This window comes from Homo sapiens, chromosome 9 (assembly GCF_000001405.40).
Source record: "Homo sapiens chromosome 9, GRCh38.p14 Primary Assembly".
In the NCBI taxonomy this organism is placed as follows: Eukaryota; Metazoa; Chordata; class Mammalia; order Primates; family Hominidae; genus Homo; species Homo sapiens.
The window spans coordinates 62125009-62149738 of NC_000009.12; the positions used below are offsets into that span (position 1 = coordinate 62125009).

The following is a 24730-nucleotide window of genomic DNA, read 5'->3' on the forward strand; positions in this document are numbered from 1 at the left end:
TCACAGGGGCTGTTCTCTCCTACTCGTGCCTCCCTCCTGGGAAAATTGTGGGGGACAGTCATGGTGATAGTACCTGGGACCTGAGTCAAGCATCCTATGTGGAGGTCTGAGTTTCCTTTGACAGAGTGTCCTGGCATCCTTCGTCTGTGATCACTGGGACACAGTCCCACTATTTTTTCCCATGGATACTGCTGCTGTGCAAACTCCATGTATAGGGTGTCACAAAGCTTACTCTGTTGTAAATACAGCTGGGTGATAGAGAATTTCATTAGTTTGTTTCTAAAGAAATACTAGAAAACAGATTGAATTAGAAAAAATTGGAAGTGGAAAGAGGATTTTTCTAGAGTTGACATTTTTACAGGAATCTAAGCATTGGTATCTAGGGGGGAGAAAGCCCAGAGTAATAATTTATTTAACTGTTGCAAATTGGAATGATGCTAATTAGATTTCATGTGTTGCTCATGATGTTTATTGCTGAAACATCCATTACCCTGCTGATTCTGGCAGTGAAATAAACATTAGAATTTTTCAACAGCTGTAGTGTAAAAGTTTAGAAATTGGACTATGAGTAGCACAATTGGGGTTTACTGTTTTGGATTACCAAAGTGTTTAGCCTTTGCCGTTCAGGGTGATTGTGTGGAAGCGGACACTGCGTGGGTGGAAGTCAAGGCAGACGCTTCCCTGTGGCGCTGGAACAAGGCGGCTGCTCTGCAGGGGGCTGTGAGCATCCCTCCTCGTGAAGCCATGGGTGGCTATTAGGTAATGCAGCAGCTGTTGCAAATAAGAGCCAGGGTGTCCTGGTGACTGCCGCACCTTGCCCCTTGTAGGAAATGCTGCTGCCTCTGAGCAGGGCTCAGGGGCTGTGAGCAGTGATCGGCAGCAGCGGGGCTGTGCGGCCTGAGCTCCTGATTCCTCGGACCCACGTGCACACCTGGAGAACGGCGCACGCTTCACCTCCTGAGCACCAAGGCCCCTCCTTCGTGAGACTTACCCCATTCGTGTGAGCCCCGGGAAGAAGGAGGCATTTTCAGATGTTTTTAGAGAGAGGGCTCCTGGAGCGCTAATCAGAGCCGTCTATGTTTGAGGATGTTGTTACGGATGCACTCATTTTTCAGGATGAAAGTCCACGCTTTGCTCACACAGCAGTCCCTGATGGTTCTCCCTCTGTTCAGGGCCTTCATTACCATGTCTGGCACGACCTTGATGCAAATGAAACATTTCCAAGAACAAGGAGCTATAACAGAAACTCAGATGTTGCATTTATAATGATTCCCACTTCGGCTTTTTGACTTTAGAGTGCAAGGAAAAATGTGCAATTTCTTACTTGGGCAAAAACAAAACAAAATAAACAACTAATGCAAATCCATACCAGAGTCTGTTACTGTGAGGTAGAGGGCTCTTAAAGGAAACAATCTAACTCTAAAACTGGAACAAACCAGAGCAGCTGCCCTGAAGAATCAAGGTGGTTTCCACCCAAGCTCCACCTGACGCTTGTGAATGGAGAAGCCAACACCCCTGAGCACAGACCTGCTCTCAGGGAGGGATTTTACCTTCATCTGCACAAAGCACCCTGCCCCTGCATAGATCCATGGGGGCTCATTGGCACTAAATAGAAAAATAGATCCCTTCTGCCTCGTTCTGGTTCACACCCATGTAGCCACAGAGCTGGCAAGAAGAATAAAATAAAGTTTTAATCTATTCCATTCTCAATCTTACTGCATTTACATTTATTAATCAACTCCATTACTAAGTATACACTCCAACGTTTGCAAAATTCTGACTACATTATCTACTCTACAATGTCCAGAAGTTAGTTCATTAAAATCTGAATTTAAATTCTATGTCCATTTAGAAACTATTTGTATTGTATTCTTCTGTAATTGGTTAAGCTTCATGAGTATAAATGCAGGAATATGGATTTTTCAATGAACGTTAAATAATCTTGTTGATTAAATTAAAGTCAAAGTAATGTTTGCTTAGAAATTAAAGGATTATATTTCATTAGTATTTAATTTACTTAGTTTTAATTCCTGGCTTGTCATGAAGATGGCAAAAGCTGATGTGTTCCCTTGTTTCCTATACTATACTATGGAACATGGAATATGTGTGTGTGGGGGGGTGTTTGTGTGTGTGTGCACACAAACACAAGATACGTATACACATTTAAGTTTAAAAACAATTCCCTTGGATAAATACTAGGTATTCAAAGAAAACTCATTTAAAGTTTAGGCAAATCTAAGTGTACTGGATTTTTATTGTGCTTTGCTGAGTATAGTCTAGCTGTTGACTGTATACTGTTTTGTTGTGTCTGCAACAGTTTCATTTGCATACACTTCAGTAGTTAGTTTCCTAGACAAGTAATCTCCAGATAAGTGCATCACGACCCCTCTCTCCAAAAACATCTGAAAATGCCTCATTCTTCACAGAGCCTACTAATTGTCACTTTAAATTGGAGAAGGGGGCTGAACATTGATTACACTATGGTGAGAAGGGTCAGGTCTGCCAAATGTGGGTCTCAAGGAAGTAACCTGCACATTTTCAAAAACAGCCTTCAGGAATGGCAGGCTTTGCGTGCTGGTGCACTGAATACATGGCTGGGTCCCTAAGCTGAAAGTGCCGAGGCTGCCTGGGTGGAACGCTCAGCTCTGCCACTTCTGAGTTCAGAAAATTAGGAAAATTATTTCATCTCACTTGGCTTCAGTTTTGTCATTTTAAAATTCTGAATAATGACAGCAGAACCCAATTTCTAGATTTAAAAGGCATAATTTATATAAGGTGCTATGAAATGAGTCAGCCCATAATCAGAGTTGGCTAGTTCTAACACTTACTACAATTATTACATCAACTCTCTTTCTGTGTGGTCCTGAGAGGTCACTTGTCCTGGGAGTGTGAGTTTCTTCATCTGTAGAACAGGGAGGTTGATTAGCCAATCTTAGGATTTTATGATCCTCTTCCTGTTAGACAATTGTCTGGAAATAGGGTCCTGTCCCTCCTCCTCCACACTCTCCCATGCTGTGTGCAGGCAGATGTGACCCCTAGCTGCATGAGGGCAGGCCTGGCCCCATGGCAGCATTATCCGCTTTGCCGGGGAAAGGAGGACATCACAGATGATCCCAAGCTGTGTCCTGAAGAAACACAAAACTAAAGATTTTGCATGTGCATCCAGGAGGAAGTTTCACACTGGAATCAATTCCTTGTTCCTGAGATTCCCTTCCTCATGCATCTTTTTCTGTGGGGGTAGATGATATGGTTTGGCTTCGTCCCACCCAAATCTTATTTTGAATTCCCACATGTTGCGGGAGGCACACAGTGGGAGGTAATTGAATCATGGGGGCAGGTCTTTCCCATGCTGTTCTTGTGATTGTGAAAAAGTTTCATGAGATCTGATGACTTTATAAGGAGGATTTTCCTTCCATAAACTCTCTCTCTCTCTGCCTGCTGCCATCCATGTAAGACATGACTTGCTTCTCCTTGCCTTCCACCCTGATTGTAAGGCCTCCTCAGCCACTTGTAACTATAAGTCCATTAAACCTCTTTCTTTTGTAAATTGCCCAGTCTCAGGTATGTCTTTATTAGCAGTGTGAAAATGGACTAATACAGTAGAGAATTAGTGAGAAACTCAACTGAGAAAAAAAAACCTACAGAGAAGCAGAATCCAGAGTTATTCACACAAGGCCCAGGACATGGGGCATGTGTGGCATTCTCCTGGCTGCTCTTGCTCATAGGTAGAGGTGGATGGAAACTCCACGCACATCACCCACCCCATCTCCTGCCACCTGTCCCTAAAGCCTCCCTTGCCCTCTCCCTCCCCGCCCCTCCCCATATGCAGTGCTTTCCCAGGCTCTCCGGCAGCCCTGCTCACTTCCTCAGTGGCTGGTCTGCCAGTCATCAGCTGAGAGCAGACCCTCCATTCACCTGGTTTCCTGTACTATGCTGTACCATGGAACATGCAATATATGTGTGTGTGTGTGTTTGTGTGTGTGTATGCACAAATATCAGATACCCCACACAGTTCAATTTAAAGAAGATTATTTCTTTTGATAAATACTACACATTAAAAGAAAACTCATATAAAGGGTATTCAAATTTAGGTTCACTAGATTAATTGTTATTTACCAGGTTAATTAGCTATTATAGCCTGGAACCACACAAAGGGGTCAGCATCCTGCTCCCCAACCTTCCAAGCAGGTGTGAAGGGATCCGTGGGGAGATTCCTGCCAGGTTTCCTAACTGGTGAGGTGGGGGTGGGGCGAGGGGCAGAGAACGGCTTCCCAACAGACAGCCAGGCACCTGGGGGACCGCCAGGTGGGAGTCTGTGCTCACAAAGAAGACATTCCAGGTTGGCCTCAGCAACACTCATAGCTCCCTCCCCGCAGCCTGCACACCCTTGCTCAGGACACCTGGATGTTGTAGGATTCTCTCACCAGCCACCAGCCAGGGCCTTTGTAGCTGCTTCGGGTGCTCCCGAAGCACCTACACGCTCCCACCCTGCTACAGACGCCTGCGGTTAGAAAGCCCTCGGCATCTGTTCAGCAGAGGGTCCTGCCAGGCTCCCCTCATTCAGAGGGGACAGAATTCTCCTCCTGACAGACTTTCTTTTTTTTTCCTTTTTGGGAGGGAGTCTCCCTCTGTCTCCCAGGCTGGAGTGCAGTGGCGCGATCTCGGCTCACTGTAAGCTCCGCCTCCCGGGTTCAGGCCATTCTCCTGCCTCAGCCTCCTGAGTAGCTGGGACTACAGGTGCCCGCCACCACGCCCGGCTAATTTTTTGTAATTTTTAGTAGAGACGGGGTTTCACCATGTTAGCCAGGATGGTCTCGATCTCCTGATCTCGTGATCCGCTCGCCTCGGCCTCCCAAAGTGCTGGGATTACAGGGGTGAGCCACCGTGCCCAGCCGACAGATTTTGTTTCTATCATCATGTGGGGAGCGAACATGGATCTCTTCCTGCCTGAAGTGGGCACGACGATATTGACCCTTTGTGGGATTCCAGGCCTTTCAGCGACTCCTGAACCCAGAGGAAGGAAGCCAGGGAAAGGAATGCTATGGGGAGAGGGTGGAGAAGGCAGAGAGCAAAGGCAGGCTGTAGGGACAGGTGGTCAGGTGAAAGCCCAAACCATGCAGCGGTGAGTGGACGTTAGGGACTAGAAATAGTGCTCTCAGGGTTCACTGTGCCATGGGGAGGTGTGTATTTCACCATACCCTGTGCCCGAGAGGCTACAGAGCGGGTCCGTTCAGCTGTCCTTGTACCCACATGGGACCCCCACCACTGCAACACCAGAGGCCCGGGGCCTGCCCTCCTTGTTTGGAGGTTCTGATTTCCCCAGGATCTTGGTGAGTTTTCTTGGGCCACAGTTAATACCCTCAGAACTCTTGTCCTCACCTTCTCTCCAGCAGTTTCGTCGGACTGACAACGGTGAGTGCCTTAGGATGCAGCTCAGAACCCCTTCCCCGCGGGAGGATCTGAGCGCCTCCAGCCTTCGCTCACTGCCTCTATAGCCCTGAACTCCACTTTTATCTCCCCAGACCTAGGAAACTGTCAACAGTTTCTAAGCATTCTGCTCGGTCTCTCTGACCTTCAATACTGAACAAGCAGCAAATACGTGCAGGGAGAACGCTGACACAATTCAACGCATTTCCCTTCTCCCTGGATTCTTGGCCCTTCCATTCCTGGCCTTTGTGATCACTCTCTGACACCGGCAAGTAGCTGCTTTTTGTTTTTTATCTGGCATTTATATTTATTTTTCGTGGTGGTGGTGAGGGGGCTTCTTGGTGCGATAAAGATGTTTCTGACCTCTGAAAACTGCACAAGAATGTGAAGAGCTGCGGGTCTAACTTCTCACCAAGCAGCTGCAGGACTCCTGTTATCTCTAATAGGGGACGTTTGACACTCACAGGAAGAATTAACTCATTCTTACAGACCGAGCCTGATTTTTTAAAAATCAGTTTTTAGGCCGGGCATGGTGGCTCACGCCTGTAATCCCAGCACTTTGGGAGGCCGAGGCGAGCGAATCACGAGGTCAGGAAATCGAGACCATCCTGGCTAACACGATGAAATCCCGTCTCTACTAAAAATACCAAAAAAATTAGCCAGGCGTGGTGGCGGGCGCCTGTAGTCCCAGCTACTTGGGAGGCTGAGGCAGGAGAATGGCGTGAACCCAGGAGGCGGAGCTTGCAGTGAGCTGAGATTGCACCACTGCACTCCAGCCTGGGCGACAGATCCAGACACCGTCTCAAAAAAATAAAATAAAATAAATAAATAAAAAATAATAATAGTAATAATAATAATAATAAATAAAAATCAGTTTTTAAAAAAATCAAAGTAAAATTTACCCAACATAAAATTAACCATTTTAACATGTACAGTTCAGTGGCATTTACTACATTCATGGTGCTGGGCAACCATTACCTCTATTTAGTTCCAAAACATGGTTATCAGCTTACAAGGAAACTCCATACACATAAAGCCATCCCTCCCTTTGCCTCTTCCTCAGCCTTGGGAAACCACTAGCCTGCCCCTTGTCTCTATGCATTTACCTATTCTGCATATTTCATGTAAAGGGGCCATACAGTACCTGGCTTTTTCATAAAACATCATGTTTCTGAGGTTCATCTACATTGTATCAGTACTTCATTCTTTTGTTTTTATTTATTATTATTATTATTATTATTATTTTGGAGACAGAGTCTTACTTTGTTGCCCAGGCTGGAGTGCAGTGGCGTGATCTCAGCTCACTGCAACTTCCACCTCCCAGGTTCAAGCGATCCTCCTGCCTCAGCCTCCCTAGTAGCTGGGAATACAGGTACACACCACTGCGCCCAGCTAATTTTTTTTTGTATTTTTGGTACAGACGACGTATGGCCATGTTGGCCTGGCTGGTCTGGAACGCCTGACCTTAGGTGGTCCAGCCACCTCGGCTTCCCAATGTGCTGGGAATACAGGTGTGAGCCACTGCACCTGGCCCAACACTTCATTCTTTTTAAATGACTGAAGAATATTTCATTTTGCCAATGTACCACACTTTGTTCACTTATTCATCAGTGGATAAGTTTGGGTTGTTTCCACCTTTTGGCTATTGTGAATAGTATAATCAGTATAACTTTTACATCCACATGTATAACGATTATATGTTAGGTGAATGTCAGTCTCTGATACAAACAACTGGAGCTTATTTTCATGCACAACCCATTCTTATTACAAAAGTTCTTGAGAGGGCTGAGCGCGGTAGCTCACGCCTGTAATCCCAGCACTTTGGGAGGCTGAGGCAGGCAGATCACTTGAGGTCAGGAGATCGAGACCAGTCTGGCCAACATGATAAAACCCCATTTCTACTAAAAATAGAAAAAATTAGCTAGGCATGGTGGTGGGTGCCTGTAATCCAAACTACTCCAGAGATGGAGGCAGGATAATTGCTTGAACCTAGGAAGCAGCGGTTGCAGTGAGCCAAGATCGTGCCACTGCTCTCCAGCCTGGGTGACAGAGTGAGACTTTGTCTCAAAAAAATAAACAAAACAAACAAAAACAACAAAAAACTACAAAGTTCTGGATGGTGTATCCACATCGCTCAGGGAGGGACAGGACTTTGTCTTCTCTCTGATGCACTCTGGGCCCCAAAAGCAGCAGAGAGGGTGACGCTGGGTCTGAGGCCCAGGTCCAGATCCCACCCTCCCTGCAGCTCATGAAAACAGGGAGTCAGCCATCACACCCTCCAGCCCTGTGTGTGCCTCGTTCCTATGGACATCCTAGAAGCTCAGCCCTGTGACATTGAAGAAAGTCCTCAGACTGCACAGTGGGTTGGTGCTCAGCACCCTTTATTTATCACTGGAGATAGGCAATTACATTTCTGCTTGTGGGAAAAAACGAATGACAGCAGGACTGGGGGCCTACAAATGCTTGAGGAAGTAAACCCTCTCTGTCCACAAAGGCTTCACTGTACTTTTCTAGCCTTTCTATTCAATTCTTCACCTTAGGAATTTGAAAATGTAATAGTCTATCTCATGGTAATTTCTGAAACAGTTGTCTTCATCTTTTAGAGATAAATATGCAGGATCATGATCAAAACATCTCCTGAGGCCTCCTTGGTGCCATGCATTATACTGATGACATGGAATAATCCATTTAATCCTCACCACAGCCCTGTGCGGGAGGTCCTGTTTTGATTCTGATTTACAGGTGAGAACACTGAGGCACTGAAAGACAGACACAGAGGGAGCCGGGCTAGTACGCAGCAGAGCTGGACTTAAACGCAGACTGCCTGGCTCCTGGTTCCCTGCTTGCAACTGTTAGCAGCCATCTGCTCATGTGGCTATCAAAAATGACTTCTCAAACAATATTTGGCATCCAATTTCCAATCCCCATTTTATAATTTTGCATGAAAAAAATTTATGTTACTATGATGAATTACTGAGATGAAGTTCTGATGCACTTTGTTCATGTTTAATTGCTTTGGAAACTGACTTTTTAAGCACCTGGAAGGAATCAGTGTCAAGTTAGTTTTGAAATGAACAGATACTGCCTCTTCTGATGAATCAGGAATAATCACCAGGTAGGAGTGTAATCTCACTGCAACTTGTTTGAGTGGTTCACGGACTTTACATCCTAATTTGGATCCTAATTTGCATCCTACCTTTAAAGTTCTGGAATGTCAATGGACAGCTGCATGAATAATTTTGTTTACAAATTAAGATGCAAATATTGGAAGAGAGAATAAAGCTATTCTGGAGTATATGTCAGGAGTGGGCACTGTTTTCTCAACTGTAAATTTTCACCACTTTCTTTTTAATTTGCTGTTCGATTTGTTTTACAGTTTTCTTGTCTTTCTTCATAGACTTGATGGGTTAAAATAATAAAATAATAAAAAACATTAGCATCTGAGAAACTAGAATTTTAATTGTGTGATTCTTTAGGATGGTGTCTCAAACAGCTTTTCTTACAGTTTTAAGTTTGGTCTACATAATAGAAGCATTTTAAAACATCAAGCAAGTCATAGTTGTTTTGGCTTACTGCTTATTCAATTAAAAAGAAATAGAAAGACTAACAGTGCTTATTGGTTTCCAAACCACCAACCCCCATTTAAAAAAATATCAATCTTCATATTTCCCTGAGTCAATTTTTTCTTTTAACCATTAGTATGAGCTAATCCTTATTCAGCATAAAACTAGGCATTATGTTAAGAACTTGCATTTCATAGTCACCACAAAATGGCCTAAAATTAGTATTTATTCCATTTTGTAAATGAGCAACCTGAGGTGTAAAAAGATGCAATAACCTGCCCAAGGTCCTTCAGCTAGCGCATTTTAGACCTGGGATTTTACACTGGGTTGCCAGAACTAGAGGCCTAGCAACCTTCCAAGCCCATCTCCTTACCTCCCGGGCCTCAGTTTGGCTATTCCTTGTCTTTAGAACAAATAAGAGCATTCTATAACTAAATAATTAGCAAAACAAGTCTTTTTCTTGGAAAATGCCTTTTAACCTACTATTAATCCACTTGTTAAATTTTTACTACATTCAAGGCAAAGAAGTGTAAAATATAATCCCTGCCCTCAAGGAGCTTACAGGGATTGCAATGAGAAGTTGTAACATAATGGGAAAACTATGTCAAATGGTAGTTCGAACACTGCAACACAGTTCTGATGCTTACCACCTGGAGTTAGCTACAGGTGCCACAGATTTAAGGGACTGACCTTCCTTCAGACACCAGCCATACTTCTGGTGTCCCCAGTCCTCTTGCACTGCTGAACAACTGGCTAGAAATGTGGGCATCACCATGACCCTTTCGAGTTTGATAATTTGCTAGAACAACTCAAAGGACTCAGGAAATACTTATGCTTAGTTTTATTATAAGTAATAAAAATTGGGACCTGCCAAGGAAGAAACACATTTGGCAAAGTCTGGGAGGGTCCACACACAGAGACTCCATGCCCCTCCGTGCGGAATCTGAACCTGTCATCCTCTCAGGATATCCACATGTTTACCAGCCAGGAAGCTTCCCTGAGCTTCGGCGTCCCCAGTTGTTACTGAGACTGTGTCACAAAGGCAGGATTGACTTAATCATTGGCCACATATTTTAACTGAATCTCTAGCCCCACCCCTCAGAGATTGGAGGTCAAACTTAACATCTGGTGTCTCAAAGCCCGACTCTCCAATCACTTGGCTGCTCTTTTTGGCACAGCTTACCTTTTTCTTAAGCACAAATTCAGGTGTGATCCGAGGAGCTCATGAATAACAATGACACTCCTATTACTCAGGAATTCCCAAGAGTTTGAGAGTCTTCCAGGGGCCAGGGACAAAGGCCAGTCTAATTCTTCATTACACAACAGGTGACCCTGTGGCTTTTGACTATGGTTCTTTTATATGTCTAAAATGTGGAGGAGCTACTGTAGAGTACGAATAAAAAGCTTTTAACTCAATTTCCCAGTATATTTGACTGTCATTACCAGTATTATAATTTTACCGATTATGCCAGTGTTTGACCATATTTCAATATGGTAAAATAATCTGAAAAATAAGAGTAACAAATATTGACATATTACTAGAATCTCATTCAGTCATTAATAATTAGTACAGCCCATCATCATATGGTGTAACCAAAATGTCTCCCAGGGTGACATCACTCACGTTCGCAGCTTCTGTTCAATTCTCTCAAGTTCCACAAGCAGGAGTGCTTTCAGCAATATATGGCTTCACTCTTTCCAGCATCTGGAATCGCTGAGCTAAGAGACAATATCATCTCTTGCCTTCAGCCCCTCTTAAAGTATTAATATAATATTGAATTTTCCTCATTGTGTAACCCAGACATTCATTGTTATAATCTACTAGTGTTTCTTCTTCTCACCAGTTATGAGTTTCTAAGCTTTTCCACATTTAGAAAGCACATTAGGTTCAGCCATTGTGCTGGTCTAGATTCCTGGCAGCAATACAAGTTTAGCGAGTGCCTTCCACTCAGTGGACTCCCATTCATATAGGATGAGGTACAGAACTAGGGGGCGTGTCAACCACTAAGCAATACATCTGCATTTCCTGTCAACCTCAGTCTTGCCAGATGGGGTAAAGACACAATCTACCCCATCTGGTCCTTAGGAAGCACAGTTACAGCTTTTACTTAGGAATTATCCCTCCTTCTGGTATTTTGCAGCCCTGGGCCCGAGACCACCATAGCAGGTAGGTAAAAGAAATTTGAGGTGATGTGGGGAAGAAAGAAAGCTGTAATCACAACTCCTTTGTAAGAAGAATTGTATACTCATCACAACATTTGCCCTACCTCTTCCTTAGGACTCTCAGAAAAGTGGAGGAATCTATCTAGTGGGACCACCCGCTTGGCGCCCTCATTTTGAATGTGAGCACACACTCAAGAAAACATATAAGGCAGCCCTTCATGCCTATTTTTATCCCCATTTTAGATGACCAAATTTTTTATTTTATTTTATTTTACTTTTTTTTGAGATGGAGTTTTGTTCTTGTTACCCAGGCTGGAGTGCAACGGCACGATCTTGGCTCACTGCAACATCTGCCTCCCAGGTTCAAGCAATTCTCCTGCCTCAGCCTCCGGAGTAGCTGGGATTACAAGCATGTGCCACCACATCTAGCTAATTTTTTTTTTTTTTTTTTTGAGATAGAGTCTCACTCTGTTGCCCAGGCTGAAGTGCAGAGTGGCTCGATCTCGGCTCACTGCAAGCTCCACCTCCCGGGTTCATGCCATTCTCCTGCCTCAACGTCCGGAGTAGCTGGGACTTCAGGTGCCCGCCACCACGCCTGGCTAATTTTTTTGTATTTTTGGTAGAGACGGGGTTTCACTGTGTTAGCCAGGATGGTTTCGATCTCTTGACCTCGTGATCCTCCCGCCTCTGCCTCCCAAAATGCTGGGATTACAGGCTTGAGCCACCGTGCCCAGCCCTAATTTTGTATTTTTCGTAGAGACGGGGTTTCTCCATGTTGGTCAGGCTGGTCTCGAACTCCCGACCTCAGGTGATCCGCCTGCTTTGGCCTCCCAAAGTACCAGGATTATAGGCATGAGCCACTGCACCCAGCCGATGACCAATGTTTTAATTGTCCATTTCAATTCTCTATCAAACCATTACTGTTAGGACAAAAGTGTTTCCTGAACTAAGAAAATATGACTTGTTCATTCAAATTGGTGCAGAATAATCTGTTCCGTTGTCTCTGATCATTTGCATCTGTTTCTTGGTAAGCAAAGCCAAGTCTCGAGCAAGTGTCTCGTTCCTGTCTATACCCCTTCGTCCACCCCCCAGGACTAATGTCATCCATTCGGCTTACAGGGCCTTCCTCCCAGCTTCTCTGCTCCATAGCCATCTATAGTCTGTGTCTCTCTTGTTAACAAAAAGAAGAATCTTTACGAGCATTTTGTGCCTCAGAAGGTACAAAGGAATAAATGTAATTCAGCCCATCTCTGGGCTGCTGCAGCCTCACAATATTCACTCATTACGTGAACCCAGTGGCCATCTCAAGCGAGCACACCAGGATATCCTCTTGCTGGCTCCAAGTACCTCCTAATCCTAGAAGGGGGGTTTCTGATAGGCATTGGCATGTCCCACTTCAATGCACCCCTCAAATTCCTGTAATCATTTCCACAAGGCAAGCCCTCCATAGGCCAGTTTTCCATTGCCCTCTGCATAACCCCCAGGTGGTCCCAAAGTCCATCCTAGGGGAAAAAGAGTCGCTCTGCCTGTGAACACGCTGGATAAATTTACATTGACCTGTGCTATGATCTGGATGTCCCTTGAAGTTCATATGTTGACATTTAATCCCCATTGTGGTGGTATTAAGAGGTGGGACCTTTTAGAAAGTGGCTAAGTCATGAGAGCTTTGTCCTCAAGAATGGACTAGCATCTTATAAAAGGGCTGGGTGTCTAGGCACAGTGGCTCACACCTGTAATCCCAGCACTTTAGGAGGCCGAGGCGGGCGGATCACAAGGTCAGGGGATGGAGACCAACCTGGCTAACACAGTGAAACCCTGTCTCTACAAAAATACAAAAAAATTAGCCAGGCATGGTGGCGGGTGCCTGTAGTCCCAGCTACTTGGGAGGCTGAGGCAGGAGAATGGTGTGAACCCAGTAGGCGGAGCTTGCAGTGAGCCAAAATCATGTCAATGCACTCCGGCCTGGGCAACAGAGTGAGACTCAAAAACAAAACAGAACAAAAAGGACTGGGGGGATCTAGCTGAGGCCTTTGGTCTTTCACCTTCTGCCATGTGTGGACACCTAGATGCCACCAACTATGAGGAATGGGTCCTCACCAGGCACAAACTCCACTAGCCTTGATCTTAGACTTCCTGGTCCACAGAACTGTGAAAAATCATTTCCACGAGGCAAAGCCGCAAAGGCCCGTTCTGTTCTTTATAAATTACCCAGTCTCAGGTAGTTTGTTATAGCAGCAGAAAGGGACTAAAACACCCTGGTAGCATGTCCCCATAAACCAATTCCATTTGACTACGAAAATTTTCTGTTTATTGTCCTTCCTATTAAAGCCTTTCTTCACTATCACTCAAGCCATGATCATATTTTAGGTTTCAAGATTAATTTGTGTCCTTCAGTTATAGAGTCCATTTCAATTAAAGTCTGATCACAAGCTAGTAATTGCCACTCAAACGGCAAGGGGTTCAGCTATGGGACTCTGGCCCCTCCATAAACTTTATCTTGATTAATCTGCCTGACCATTGTCCAGGTGATTCCAGGCTGGGTTCCTCATTGGAATCTTTGTTTTCTGGCCTTTAAAATTACTCCAAACTGACACAAATAGACTTGTGTAGGGCCCTGTAATGGGGAAACCGACCAAAGGGGGATCAGCAATGGTTCCTGCTGGTCCCTGCAACCTTCCATAGCACTGCATTCAGACCTTTGTTTCAACACCATTAACGTTTACTTTATTTATTCAATTTGTTGTCATCTAAAGTTTTCCACCCTGCTAAAATGAATCTCTTGATTCTCTTCTCTCTCCATTTTCTTGTTAATTATGTTTTGTTGTTGTTGTGTGTATCTCTAAGACACATAAGGGGAAGCAGAGATAGCAAATCCATAGGGCTCTTTGGACTGTTGCTTGATTTTGCAGCAATAAAGCTACACTGAGTGATTATACAAAGGGGGCCCCTTAACCATAGCATTAACCATGCCCTGCATAAGGGAAACAAACAGTGGATGAATATCCTGAGCATCATAAAGCCAATCCAGCATGGCTTGCACACAAAACATACCAGCCCCTTCACCTGGGATGTTCCAATGGGCATTTATAGGGGAAATAGGATAGTCCTCCTCATGGTAAACAACTTTGTACTGTCTTTTATTTAGCCTAGTAGGCTAATTGTTCCCTAGGGAATAACCTGCTATGTGTCTGGATCATGTGTGGTGATCTATGATTGTTCCATAGTGAGCTGTGGATCTTGTATCAACCCAAACATGCTTTTCTATTCTGCAGTATTCAAAAACCAAAGAAACTTGACTCTGAATTAATTACTCCTACATTTATTTCAGTAAAGGTTCTTCCATAAACTGTTGATATAACTTCGTCATGCTGCACCCCTGGTTTCAGTGGTTTCTTGATTTTTCCTGTCTTACCTGGACTCTTTTTTCGATGACCAGATGTTTCAGAGCATATTGCAGCATATTTTTTCCCTTCGAGGATGGCTTTGAGACTAGTGGCCATATCTCAGACTGACCAAAATCTGAGGTTGGTGTCAGCACCCTTTTTTTCTCTCAGTTTAGCTATTATAACAAGAACCAAGGGATTATATATTTCACTTTTTCCTTTTTTTTTTTTTTTTTTTTTTTTGCACTTCCCTGTACATCCAATAGATCAACTCTTTAGAAGCTGGTCTATCACTATTTCTGAATTCCATTGGCTGGGTCTATCACTGTTTCTCAATTCCATTGGCTGGGTCTATCACTATTTCCGAATTCCATGGGTGGCTTTTACCTTTAGAAACTGATCACAACGCAGATGCAATTTTATATCGGGGTGACCCTGTGGCCCCCCAAAAATCAAAGTTTCCTCATTGTTGGCCTTTTAATTTAATTCTTCCTCTTTCCAAACCCATTGTTTCAGGGTTGTTCTAGTGAGTCTCACATTTTCTGGCACAAATGGTAAGGAGAAGTAAACATTTCTCTATGGAGAAATCACTATGGGGGCATAAAAGCCAGCTTCCTGGAGAAGTAGCATTTAACCCGAGATTTGCAGCATTCCATCTACATAAATGTGAGGAAAGGTCCCTTTAGGTATGAGCTAAAGGGTCAGGACTCGCAGATAAGAAGCATATGTGAAGGCCCATACAGAGGGATATTTGGCTGTGGGTAGCAGCAGGCAGTAGATGTGACTGGGAGGATGTCAGGGGAAGGGGAGCACGTGGAAGATGACATTGGATAACATTGAAAAGAAATACATTTTAAAATTTACTCAAGGGAACATGGTATTAAATCAAGTTTCATCTAAAGCTGCCTCCTTACATATTTAAGTTTGGCCTAAAGGTTTTTCTGTACATTGTGAACTGTAACAAGTGAAGTGTAAGCAGAATGTAGCCTACCCTAGTGCCAATCAACGAGTTTTGGCCAATCAAATGTAGCCAACTGTTCGAGCCATGTTCAAATAAGGTAAATGCCAAGCTGTAACCAATCCGGCTGTTTCTATGCCTCACTTCCATTTTCTGTACTTCACTTTCCTTTTTCTGTCCATAAATCTTCTTCCAACATGTGGCTGAGCTGGAGTCTGGGAGCCTAGTCTGGCTGGGAAGGCTGCCTAATTTTGAGAATCATTCATTGCTCAATTAAACTCCTTCAAATTTAATTTGGCTGAAGTTTTTCTTTTACTAGTGGGGAGCCATTGAATAATTTTATCTGGGGGAAAGGCATGATAGGAAAATCTCTTTCAAAATAAAATGAGTGCTAGCTCGCTGCTAACCACATGTTTACTGAGGTTCATCACTCTGCACACCTGCTCCTCTGGGTTTCCTCACTACTCTCAGAATTCCAGCCCTTACCCGACATGCTGGGGCCACCAACTTACTCGTTTGCCTGTTCTCTTCGACACTGAGGTCATCAAATACTATGTAAGATTCAAGCTTTGTAACCTCAATGCTTCTACCCATTTTGATACTAGATATATATTTATCACATGATTATATTAAATATAGACCAAGACCCTAAAACATTCCTAACCCTAAGATACTCCATGTTTGGGTAAATAGCATCCAAAAATACCACTAGCTGTCCTAAGGTATAGCAGGAGAAAAATACAATGCATCAAAGGGAAAAGCTGTACTGAAGGAGAGAAATAGGAAAGAGGGAAATTAGAAAAATAAAAGATGAAGAGAGACTTTTGCTTAATGTGGATGGGTTACGTCATTGTGGAGGCTAAGGGGTAACAGATATTGTATGGTGGTGTACATGCCATAGGTTGTGCACACATAACCACCCATCGTATTTAGACATAGCATCCACCTGGGAGTCTCACCATACGATAGGCTCAGAGTCTGATCCATATTGCAGGAGAGTCGGAACAGCACACAGCAAGACATGAGGAGGAAGACCCATGACCATTTAGTCACCCGTCATTCTTCAAATGGATACAGTACTTCTAAAACACTAATACTCTTTTTATGGTATATCCATGATTGTAAATTAAGGCCAATAATGGCCGGGCGCGGTGGCTCACACCTGTAATCCCAGCACTTTGGGAGGCCAAGGCGGGTGGATCACAAGGTCAGGAGATCAAGACCATCCTGGCTAACCCAGTGAAACCCTGTCTCTACTAAAAATACAAAAACAAAATTAGCCGGGCGTGCTGGCGGGTGCCTGTAGTCCCAGCTCCTCACGAGGCTGAGGCGGGAGAATGGCATGAACCCAGGAGACGGAGCTTGCAGGGAACTGAGATCGTGCCACTGCACTCCAGCCTGGGCGACAGAGCGAGACTATGTCTCAAATAATAATAATAATAATTCTTAGCTTATCCCAAATAAATCCTGATTTAACTTAATTGTATCTTTCTTGAAATTCTATTAAGAGTAATAAGACATTCAATGATGTATTAAACGATAATAACAGTTGACATTTATAAAGTGTTAACCACAAATATTGATTCATTTATACACAAAATGATTATTGAGTGCCTAAAGTCACTGGGCTGTGCCCTGAGTAAATAAGAATGAGACAGTGCTGCCTCATGTTCTATTCTTTCCTCTGCCAATTTTATACTCCTTTGTTCTAATGTGCACGGGCAACCCGAAAGTCAGCTAATTCTACAAAAATTTAAAAGAAACAAACTAACTTGAGGTTCTAAATAACTTATTCAAGTCCTGGCAGTCGGGATTTGATCATATAACTCTTGTCTCTATTTCTCAGACTGCAAAAACTAATAGGTTGTGGCAAATAATGTATATAAGTTTTGTTAATGAATGGAAAACATTAGGAAGTTAAATATCTGGATACACACATTTTCTAGGCCAACGTTTCTCCTGCTAAATAATCCTGCCTTCAGTCACGGTTGATTTTAAACTGCAGCCAAAAGAACCAAGGGTGATTGTGGCTGTCATTACTGAATAAATGTCATGGGGTTAGCAGGGAGAGAGAGAGAGAGAGAAAGAGACAGAGACAGAGAGAGGGAGATTACAGAATGGGGTACTAATAGTTTGTAACAGTTTTTAAACAATCCTGTTGTAGATTAATGATAGGGTATCAGACAGTAGAGGTAAACTTTGTAGCATATTGCATTTCTGATCAATGCCTACAGATTGATTTTTTTACAAAACTCCTCTGTTACACATGTAAGCGTCACAAGGAGCCTGAGTTTCTTTTGTTACAGATTTAAACAATATTCTAGCATAACCCTGAGAAAGTAAATAATATTTGTGATAATTAATGGATTTTCTAGAAAACTAAATGGTGATGGTGAACTGCCAGGATCCCAAGGAAAAGGAATAGCTCTAGCAAAAAGGATCTGTAGAAAAGAGGAAAGCCTGGTACGCCTTCTGTCCCCATCTTATCCATAGGCTGACCAAGATAACACCTTGAATGTCACATTTACAAGCAAGTATTTTCTGGCCCGATAGCATCAAACATAAAGTCAATCCATCATTTGTCCTAAAGGAACAGCAACATTTGTTTACACTGGAGGAGTCACAAGTCTGAGGAGATTTTTCGATCAGAAATAACCTATCCTTAGACTGAGGTTGGTGAAGGAAGGCAGAAGTCTACGCTGTGTTTTTCTGATTGAACTTTGCACACAGAAGAGTCTTTTGAAATAAGCACTTCGATGTCAACAGCAGTTAATTCAGCAGGCACATGCTGTGGATTAGGGAGAACTAAGATAGGTGATTCTAACTGCTGCAACAGATGTTCTGGGAATATCAGAACCATTGGACTTCAGTGTCAAAGTGAAGCCAGGGACCATGGGAGAATCCTGGTGCCCCCAAAATCACAGAACGTCTTTTGATTCACTTCACTCTGGCCTTTCAGGGTGTTTCTCTACTCTATCGTGCCTCGATTAAGCCACATATTGGTTGAGTCACCTACCCTCCAATCCCCAAATGTAGCTGCCCAAATCAGATACCGTCACAGGTCATGGATGATAAGCATTTTAATGCATGCATCAGTGTGTGTCCTGTTTCTGTTACACTGAAGTACTTAAACAACAGTCATTGTGTTCTCTGCTGATGTGGATAGACTCTTACCTGGTCATAAATGTGTCCTTTATAATTGCTGTTACCTGAGGGCTTTCCATGAAGGCAACTTCAGCAATTAAAGTTACTTAGGTAGCAATCTCGGTTAAAGTGTGATGAACATTTAATTTAGAACAGTGTAGCTTCTTGGTTAGTTTGTGTTGATCTCCAACCTGGTATGTCAACTTGTTTCTCAGTGAGATGGAGAGGTTGAGAGTGCTGCCAAGAGGATGTTAACTATTTTATATGGTATCGTTCTACAAGGTTTGCAGCTACGTACTGAGGTAAAACAGCGTGAACACAGACAATTAAATAAAAGCATAAGAAAATGAAAATATATTTCCAAGATAGGAGGGCAAGTTGAGTGGGAACAATATGCAGCCACTGCCTGAAGGCGTTTGAAGAATGGGAATGGCGAGTCCTGGAAGATTTCCTGGGCCAACAACCTGAAGATTGCACCGCTGCGCAGAGCGCTCCTGGCCTCTGAAGCAGATGTTCTGGAGGCTGCTCTAGTAGTGGACAGACAGGTAAGGATGGTTTAAGCCAGCTTCCTGGAAAGTTCCAGGTCCAGCTTCTAAACGCTCTTCCCAAACTGATAATTCAAAGAGAGTCTGTAGAAACATTTAGGATTTAGGGAAACTACCGTCTGCGTTTATTTTTCTTCCCACAAACTTTTAATAAGCAGCAACTATATTGGCCTGTTCCCGGTGGGGAAACAGGAAGGAAGGGGGAAAATGATGTCATAAGACACTGGCTGTGTGTCTCAGTTCCCTTGTGATTATTTTTGAGATGGAAACGACTGACTCAAGGGCAGAGGACAGGAGGCCCTCAAGCACTACAGTTTGCTGATTGGAAGTGATCAGCATTACAAACCCGGTGCAAGGGCAACGGTGGGTCAGAGATGTGGGCTGAAGAGTCCTGGAAACAGAGGTCCTGGGCAGGGAAATCCGATATGGGGCTTTGAGTAACCTCATGGGCATCTATGAAGAGACAGACAAAAATTAGTCTGTCCAGAGGAAGCGATGACTGATGGCATTTCTACCTGCACACAGTCTGGAAAAGAGTCGGCCCCACCCTGAGTCTTCCCACTCATCTCCTCTCACACATCAATCACCCTGTGTCCTAACCACGACAGCTGCTAAATCTTTAACTTAAGGGGGAAAAGATTTGTTTTTAACTTAAGGAAGGAAAGTATTGTTTAAAATATGAGATGAAAGGAGGAATGACTATTCACTCTTCCTCTCCTAAAGACTTAGCCATTTTAGGCTGGGCACGGTGGCTCACGCCTGTAATCCTAGCACTTTGAGAGGCCGAGGCAGGCGGATCATAAGGTCAGGAGATCGAGACCATCCTGGCTAACACAGTGAAACCCCGTCTCTACTAAAAATACAAAAACAAAATTAGCCAGGCATGGTGGTAGGTGCCTGTAGTCCCAGCTACTTGGGAGGCTGAGGTGGGAGAATGGTGGGAACTTGGGAGGCAGAGGTTGAAGTGAGCTGAGATCACGCCATTGCACTCCAGCCTGGGTGAAAGAGCGAGACTCTCTCTCAAAAAAAAAAAAAAAAAAAAAAAAGATACACAATTTAGGTTAGAGAGGAGGAATAAGTTCAAGAGATCTGTTGTACAACATGGTGACTATATTATAGTTAATATAAAAAATTATACTGATGAAAATTGCCAAGACAGTAGATTTTAAGTCTTCTCACCACAGAAAATTATGTGATGTAATGCATATGTCAATTAGCTCAATTTAGCCATTTCAAAATGTATACATATTCCAATACCACATGTCTTACATGATAAATGTATGCAATTTTTATTTGGCAATAAATAAGCAGAAATATTCAAAAATGAATGAACTATTTTGTATTACGAAAGGTCTGTATCCAAACAATCTATACTTGGTTATTTGAAAAAACAAACAAAACTCCCCTAAAATATCAGAATTTCATTGCTTTTAAGATAGAGATTGGATATTTTATCAAATATTTTATGATTATATTTTACTCACTCATGGCCTGATTCCTCAGAACATACAGTCAGCTAAATTGCCAATGACTTAAACATTTGAAGTTAGGTTTGTTTTTGGTTGTTGTTGTTCATGCTGCAGGGCATAAATTCCTGTGTAATGTGTGCTCACGTATTCAGCTTTGCTTTCAGATTAAATGGAGCACTTCCTAATGGGTCAGTAGCCTGTGAATCCACTGCTTATGACAGTCATCACACTGTAGCTCCGTGTGAGGGCAGCCAAGTGTAAAACTAAGATTCTCCACTAATATCTGTCTAGGGGAGATGTGAGACAATGGCTTTTAAACTTCAGAGTATGTCGGAATTAACAGGAGGACTTACTAAAATACAGATTGCTGGGCCCCAGTTCTAGAGTTCCTAATTCAGTAGGTCTCAGGGGAGCCTGAGAATTTACATTTATAACAAATTCCCGTGTGGTGCTATCACTACTCATTCAGGAAACCCACGTTAAAAACCAGTAGAGAAAAGTGTGGTGCTGCATTTGTTGCTGCCGTATGTAAAACCTGTGAGGTAGCAAGTGAGGTGGTCATCACCACACATAATGAAAACAGTTTCATAAAACTCACTAATGAATGGGTCCAGTTCTGTTACCCCTTAGGTCTAACTTTTATGGAAGAAACACAGACCTTGCCTTCTGATGAATTGGCTGACTGCTGAACTAACTCACTGAGTCTTTCATTTACTTGGAAAATCATGATTGAACTTCATTGATCAGATGGGCATTCTACTTAACACAGGGTGGACAAAAGTTTGGAAAAATAAACAAGTGTTTAATATATTTCACATATTAAGTTGCAATAACACTCATTGTTGATGAGCTAAGGGACACCTCCTGGAGTGCTTCCCGCAGAAGATATACCACCCGTTCCTTCAAGGGAGGGAGGAACCAGATGGTTGGTAATTTCCAAAACTGAGATGGACAATGTAGCCCTGAGGAGTGGGCTGCATGCTCCTCAGCTCGGAACCCTCGTGATTACTTTCTCTGGAATATGCAAAAAGTGCGGGTTTATTCAATGAAAATCAGAGGCACCAATCATCTGAGGCAATGTCTCAATGGGGAACATCTGAGGGGTTGATGAAGGTGTGTCTTAAGGCACCATGGTGACTGTAGTTTTGCACAGTATCTTGGACTTTTTGTTGCTATTGCAGATCAACACCATTACGTATCTCATGCCATGTAATATCACGAACTGGAATGGTGTATCAATAAATCACCTATTATGGATATTCCGTAATATTTTCAGGTTTTGGGCCACCCCGCAGAAGAGGATTCAATGAGCTCATGCTATCTTCCCTCTCAAAGGAGGTGGGCAGTAACACAGAGCATTTGAATTTAACGCTGAGCCTCTCATGAGAGGGGATACATGGGAAAAGAAGCTCTGTGAAAACTGGAGGTTACTGGGGACAGATGAGGCTGTATTGCCATGATGGGGATGGATGATTAGAAACAGTGCAGAGAAAGGGCCCTGACTGATTGGTGTTTCTGATTCCAAAAACATAAAACAAACATGGCAGGTTTTCATGTATTTGCTATTGTAAATAGTGCTGTGATGAACGAACCAGTGCAGGTGTCTTTTTTATAAAACAATTTCTTTTTCTTTGGGTAGACATCCAGTAGTGAGACTACTGAGTTCAATGGTGGTTCTATTTTTAGTTATTTTTATTTTTTATTTATTTTTTTTTTTTGAGACAGAGTCTCCCTCTGTCACCCAGGCTGGAGTGCAGTGGCGCGATCTCGGCTCACTGCAAGCTCCGCCTCCCGGGTTCATGCCATTCTCCCACCTCAGCCTCCCGAGTAGCTGGGACTACAGGAGCCCGCCGCCATGCCTGGCTAATTTTGTTTTTATGTTTTTAGTAGAGATGGGGTTTCACCGTGTTAGTCAGTATGGTCTCGGTCTCCTGACCTCGTGATCCGCCCGCCTTGGCCTCCCAAAGTGCTGGGATTACAGGCATGAGCCACCGCACCCAGCCCAGGATGATATTTTCTAAAGTTTCTTCTAGGATTTTTATAGTTTGAGGTCTTACATTTAAATCTTTAAACCATCTTGAGTTAATTTTTGTATATGGTAAAATGTAGGGGTCCAGTTTCATTCTTCTGCATATGGCTAACCAGTTATCCCAGCACTATTTATTGAATAGGGAGTCTTTTCCTCATTGCTTATTTTCATCAACTTTGTCAAAGATCAGATGGTGGTAGGTATGTGGATTTATTTCTAGGTTCTCTCTTCGGTTCCATTGGTCTATGTATCTGTTTTTGTACCAGTACCATGCTGTTTTGGTTTAAACTAGGTGCCCATAAACAGTGGATTGAATTAAGAAAATGTGGTACATATACACCATGGAATATTATGCAACCATAAAAAAGAACAAAATCGGCCTGGTGTGGTGGCTCACACCTGTAGTCCCAGCACTTTGGGAGCCCAAGGCGGGTGGATCACAAGGTCAGGAGATCGAGACCATCCTGGCTAACACGGTGAAACCTCGTCTCTACTAAAAAATACAAAAAAATTAGCCCGGGCATGGTGGTGGGTGCCTGTAGTCCCAGCTACTCAGGAGGCTGAGGCAGGAGAATGGCATGAACCTGGGAGGCAGAGCTTGCAGTGAGCTGAGATCACACCACTGTACTCCATCCTGGGCGACAGAGCAAGACTCCGTCCAAAAAAAAAAAAAAAAAAAAATCATGTCTTTTGCAGCTGCCTGGATGCAGCTGGAGGCCATTACCCTAAGTGAATTAACAAAGCAACAGAAAACTAAATACCACGTTCTCACATATAAATGGGAGCAAACCATTGGGTGCACATGAGCATAAAGATGGGAACAAAAGACACTGGGACTCCTAGAAGGGGGAGAGAAGGAGGGAGGGTAAGGGTTGAAAAGCTACCTATTGGGTACTATGCTCACTACCTGAGTAATAAGATCATTTGTACACAAACCTCAGAGTCCCACAATATACCCATGTAACAAATCTGCACATGTATCCCCTGAATCTAAAAGTTGAATTTTTTTTCTTACAGTAAGCTTTTATTCATTTATGTTGCATAACCAGCAATATTGGGAGATATTCAATTTTTTTATTAAGGTGCTAGGCTGTGCCTTAAAGGATTCAAATATTTTAATAAAATGTAGTTTCAAACTATTTTAAATCAAAATACTCTAATGTTATTTCTAATATGAATGCCATTTTTTTCTGAGTGTGAAAAATTCCAGAAACAGTTATTTATTTTAATACGAAGCTAGTACAAAATAAAGTTTAAGTGAAATTAATTGGAGAAAAAGCCAACTTAACTAGGTATAAACTCTATACTTTGCCTCTCTTTATAGAAATAAAATCATGTGCCTTCAAGTGTATAAGACAGCAGGAACTAATTTCCAAAGGACCAACACTTGGAAAAGCAGTGACAGCATTAGGAGGAATAACTGTTGAGAGCTGCACTCTTGGGACAGCTGGACTATGCTGCTGGGCAGAGTTCAGGCAGAGCAGGGCTGCTCTCTCTCCTGTCTGGAGAGTGCTCTGAGTGTAGCCCTAGGCCTGCACCTGGCAAGTTCATGGTTCAGACAAACTCTGGCCTCCCCAGCACAGACAGGCAGCATGGTTCTTCTCACAGTCCAGGGAAATGCTCCTGGACACGTCTCAAAATGAAAGATCTTCTCATCTTGTCCCCCAGTGGTTCAAACTTCTGCTGAGTGTGGGCTGAATATCTTTGTGATACATTTATAAACAAATAGATGCTTCCTAAAGTTTTACTTTGCAACTGTTTCATCCCTCTTCTTCAAAATAAAGTGAATAAAATATTTCATGGAGTTTAGTGAGAAAAATAAATCAGATTATTCATATAAAATATTGATTACAGTGCTTCTTGGTACACTGTCCACTGTCTGGGCACACGGGCAATAAATTATAGCTGCTATTTTTAAATATATTATTTGAATATTGTGAGACATAAATGAGTATTCAAAACCTCTACTATAATATCTATAAGATATTAAATGCCTACTAGGAAGTATTAATTATTTTTCTATATACAATGTACCAGGAATTCTCAACA

The 24730-nt window shown here is 43.0% G+C and overlaps 1 long non-coding RNA gene across 1 annotated transcript, besides 1 other annotated feature; it reads right to left on the reverse strand.

The window, feature by feature from the left end:
- Positions 1–618: 618 nt before the first annotated feature.
- LOC105379439 (uncharacterized) lies at positions 619–4205 on the reverse strand. The gene is made up of 5 exons (XR_950650.2): positions 4117–4205; positions 2829–3125; positions 1551–1665; positions 992–1199; positions 619–771 (listed from the first exon to the last, which is right to left on the reverse strand). It is a non-coding gene; the product is annotated as an uncharacterized LOC105379439 (long non-coding RNA).
- Positions 9940–10478: an enhancer, noted in NCBI's record as "OCT4-NANOG hESC enhancer chr9:67520664-67521202 (GRCh37/hg19 assembly coordinates)". NCBI's record gives its function as "activates a minimal SCP1, AML or CMV promoter by ChIP-STARR-seq in primed H9 embryonic stem cells {active_cell/tissue: H9 hESC(primed)}" and the evidence as "EXISTENCE:reporter gene assay evidence [ECO:0000049][PMID:30033119]".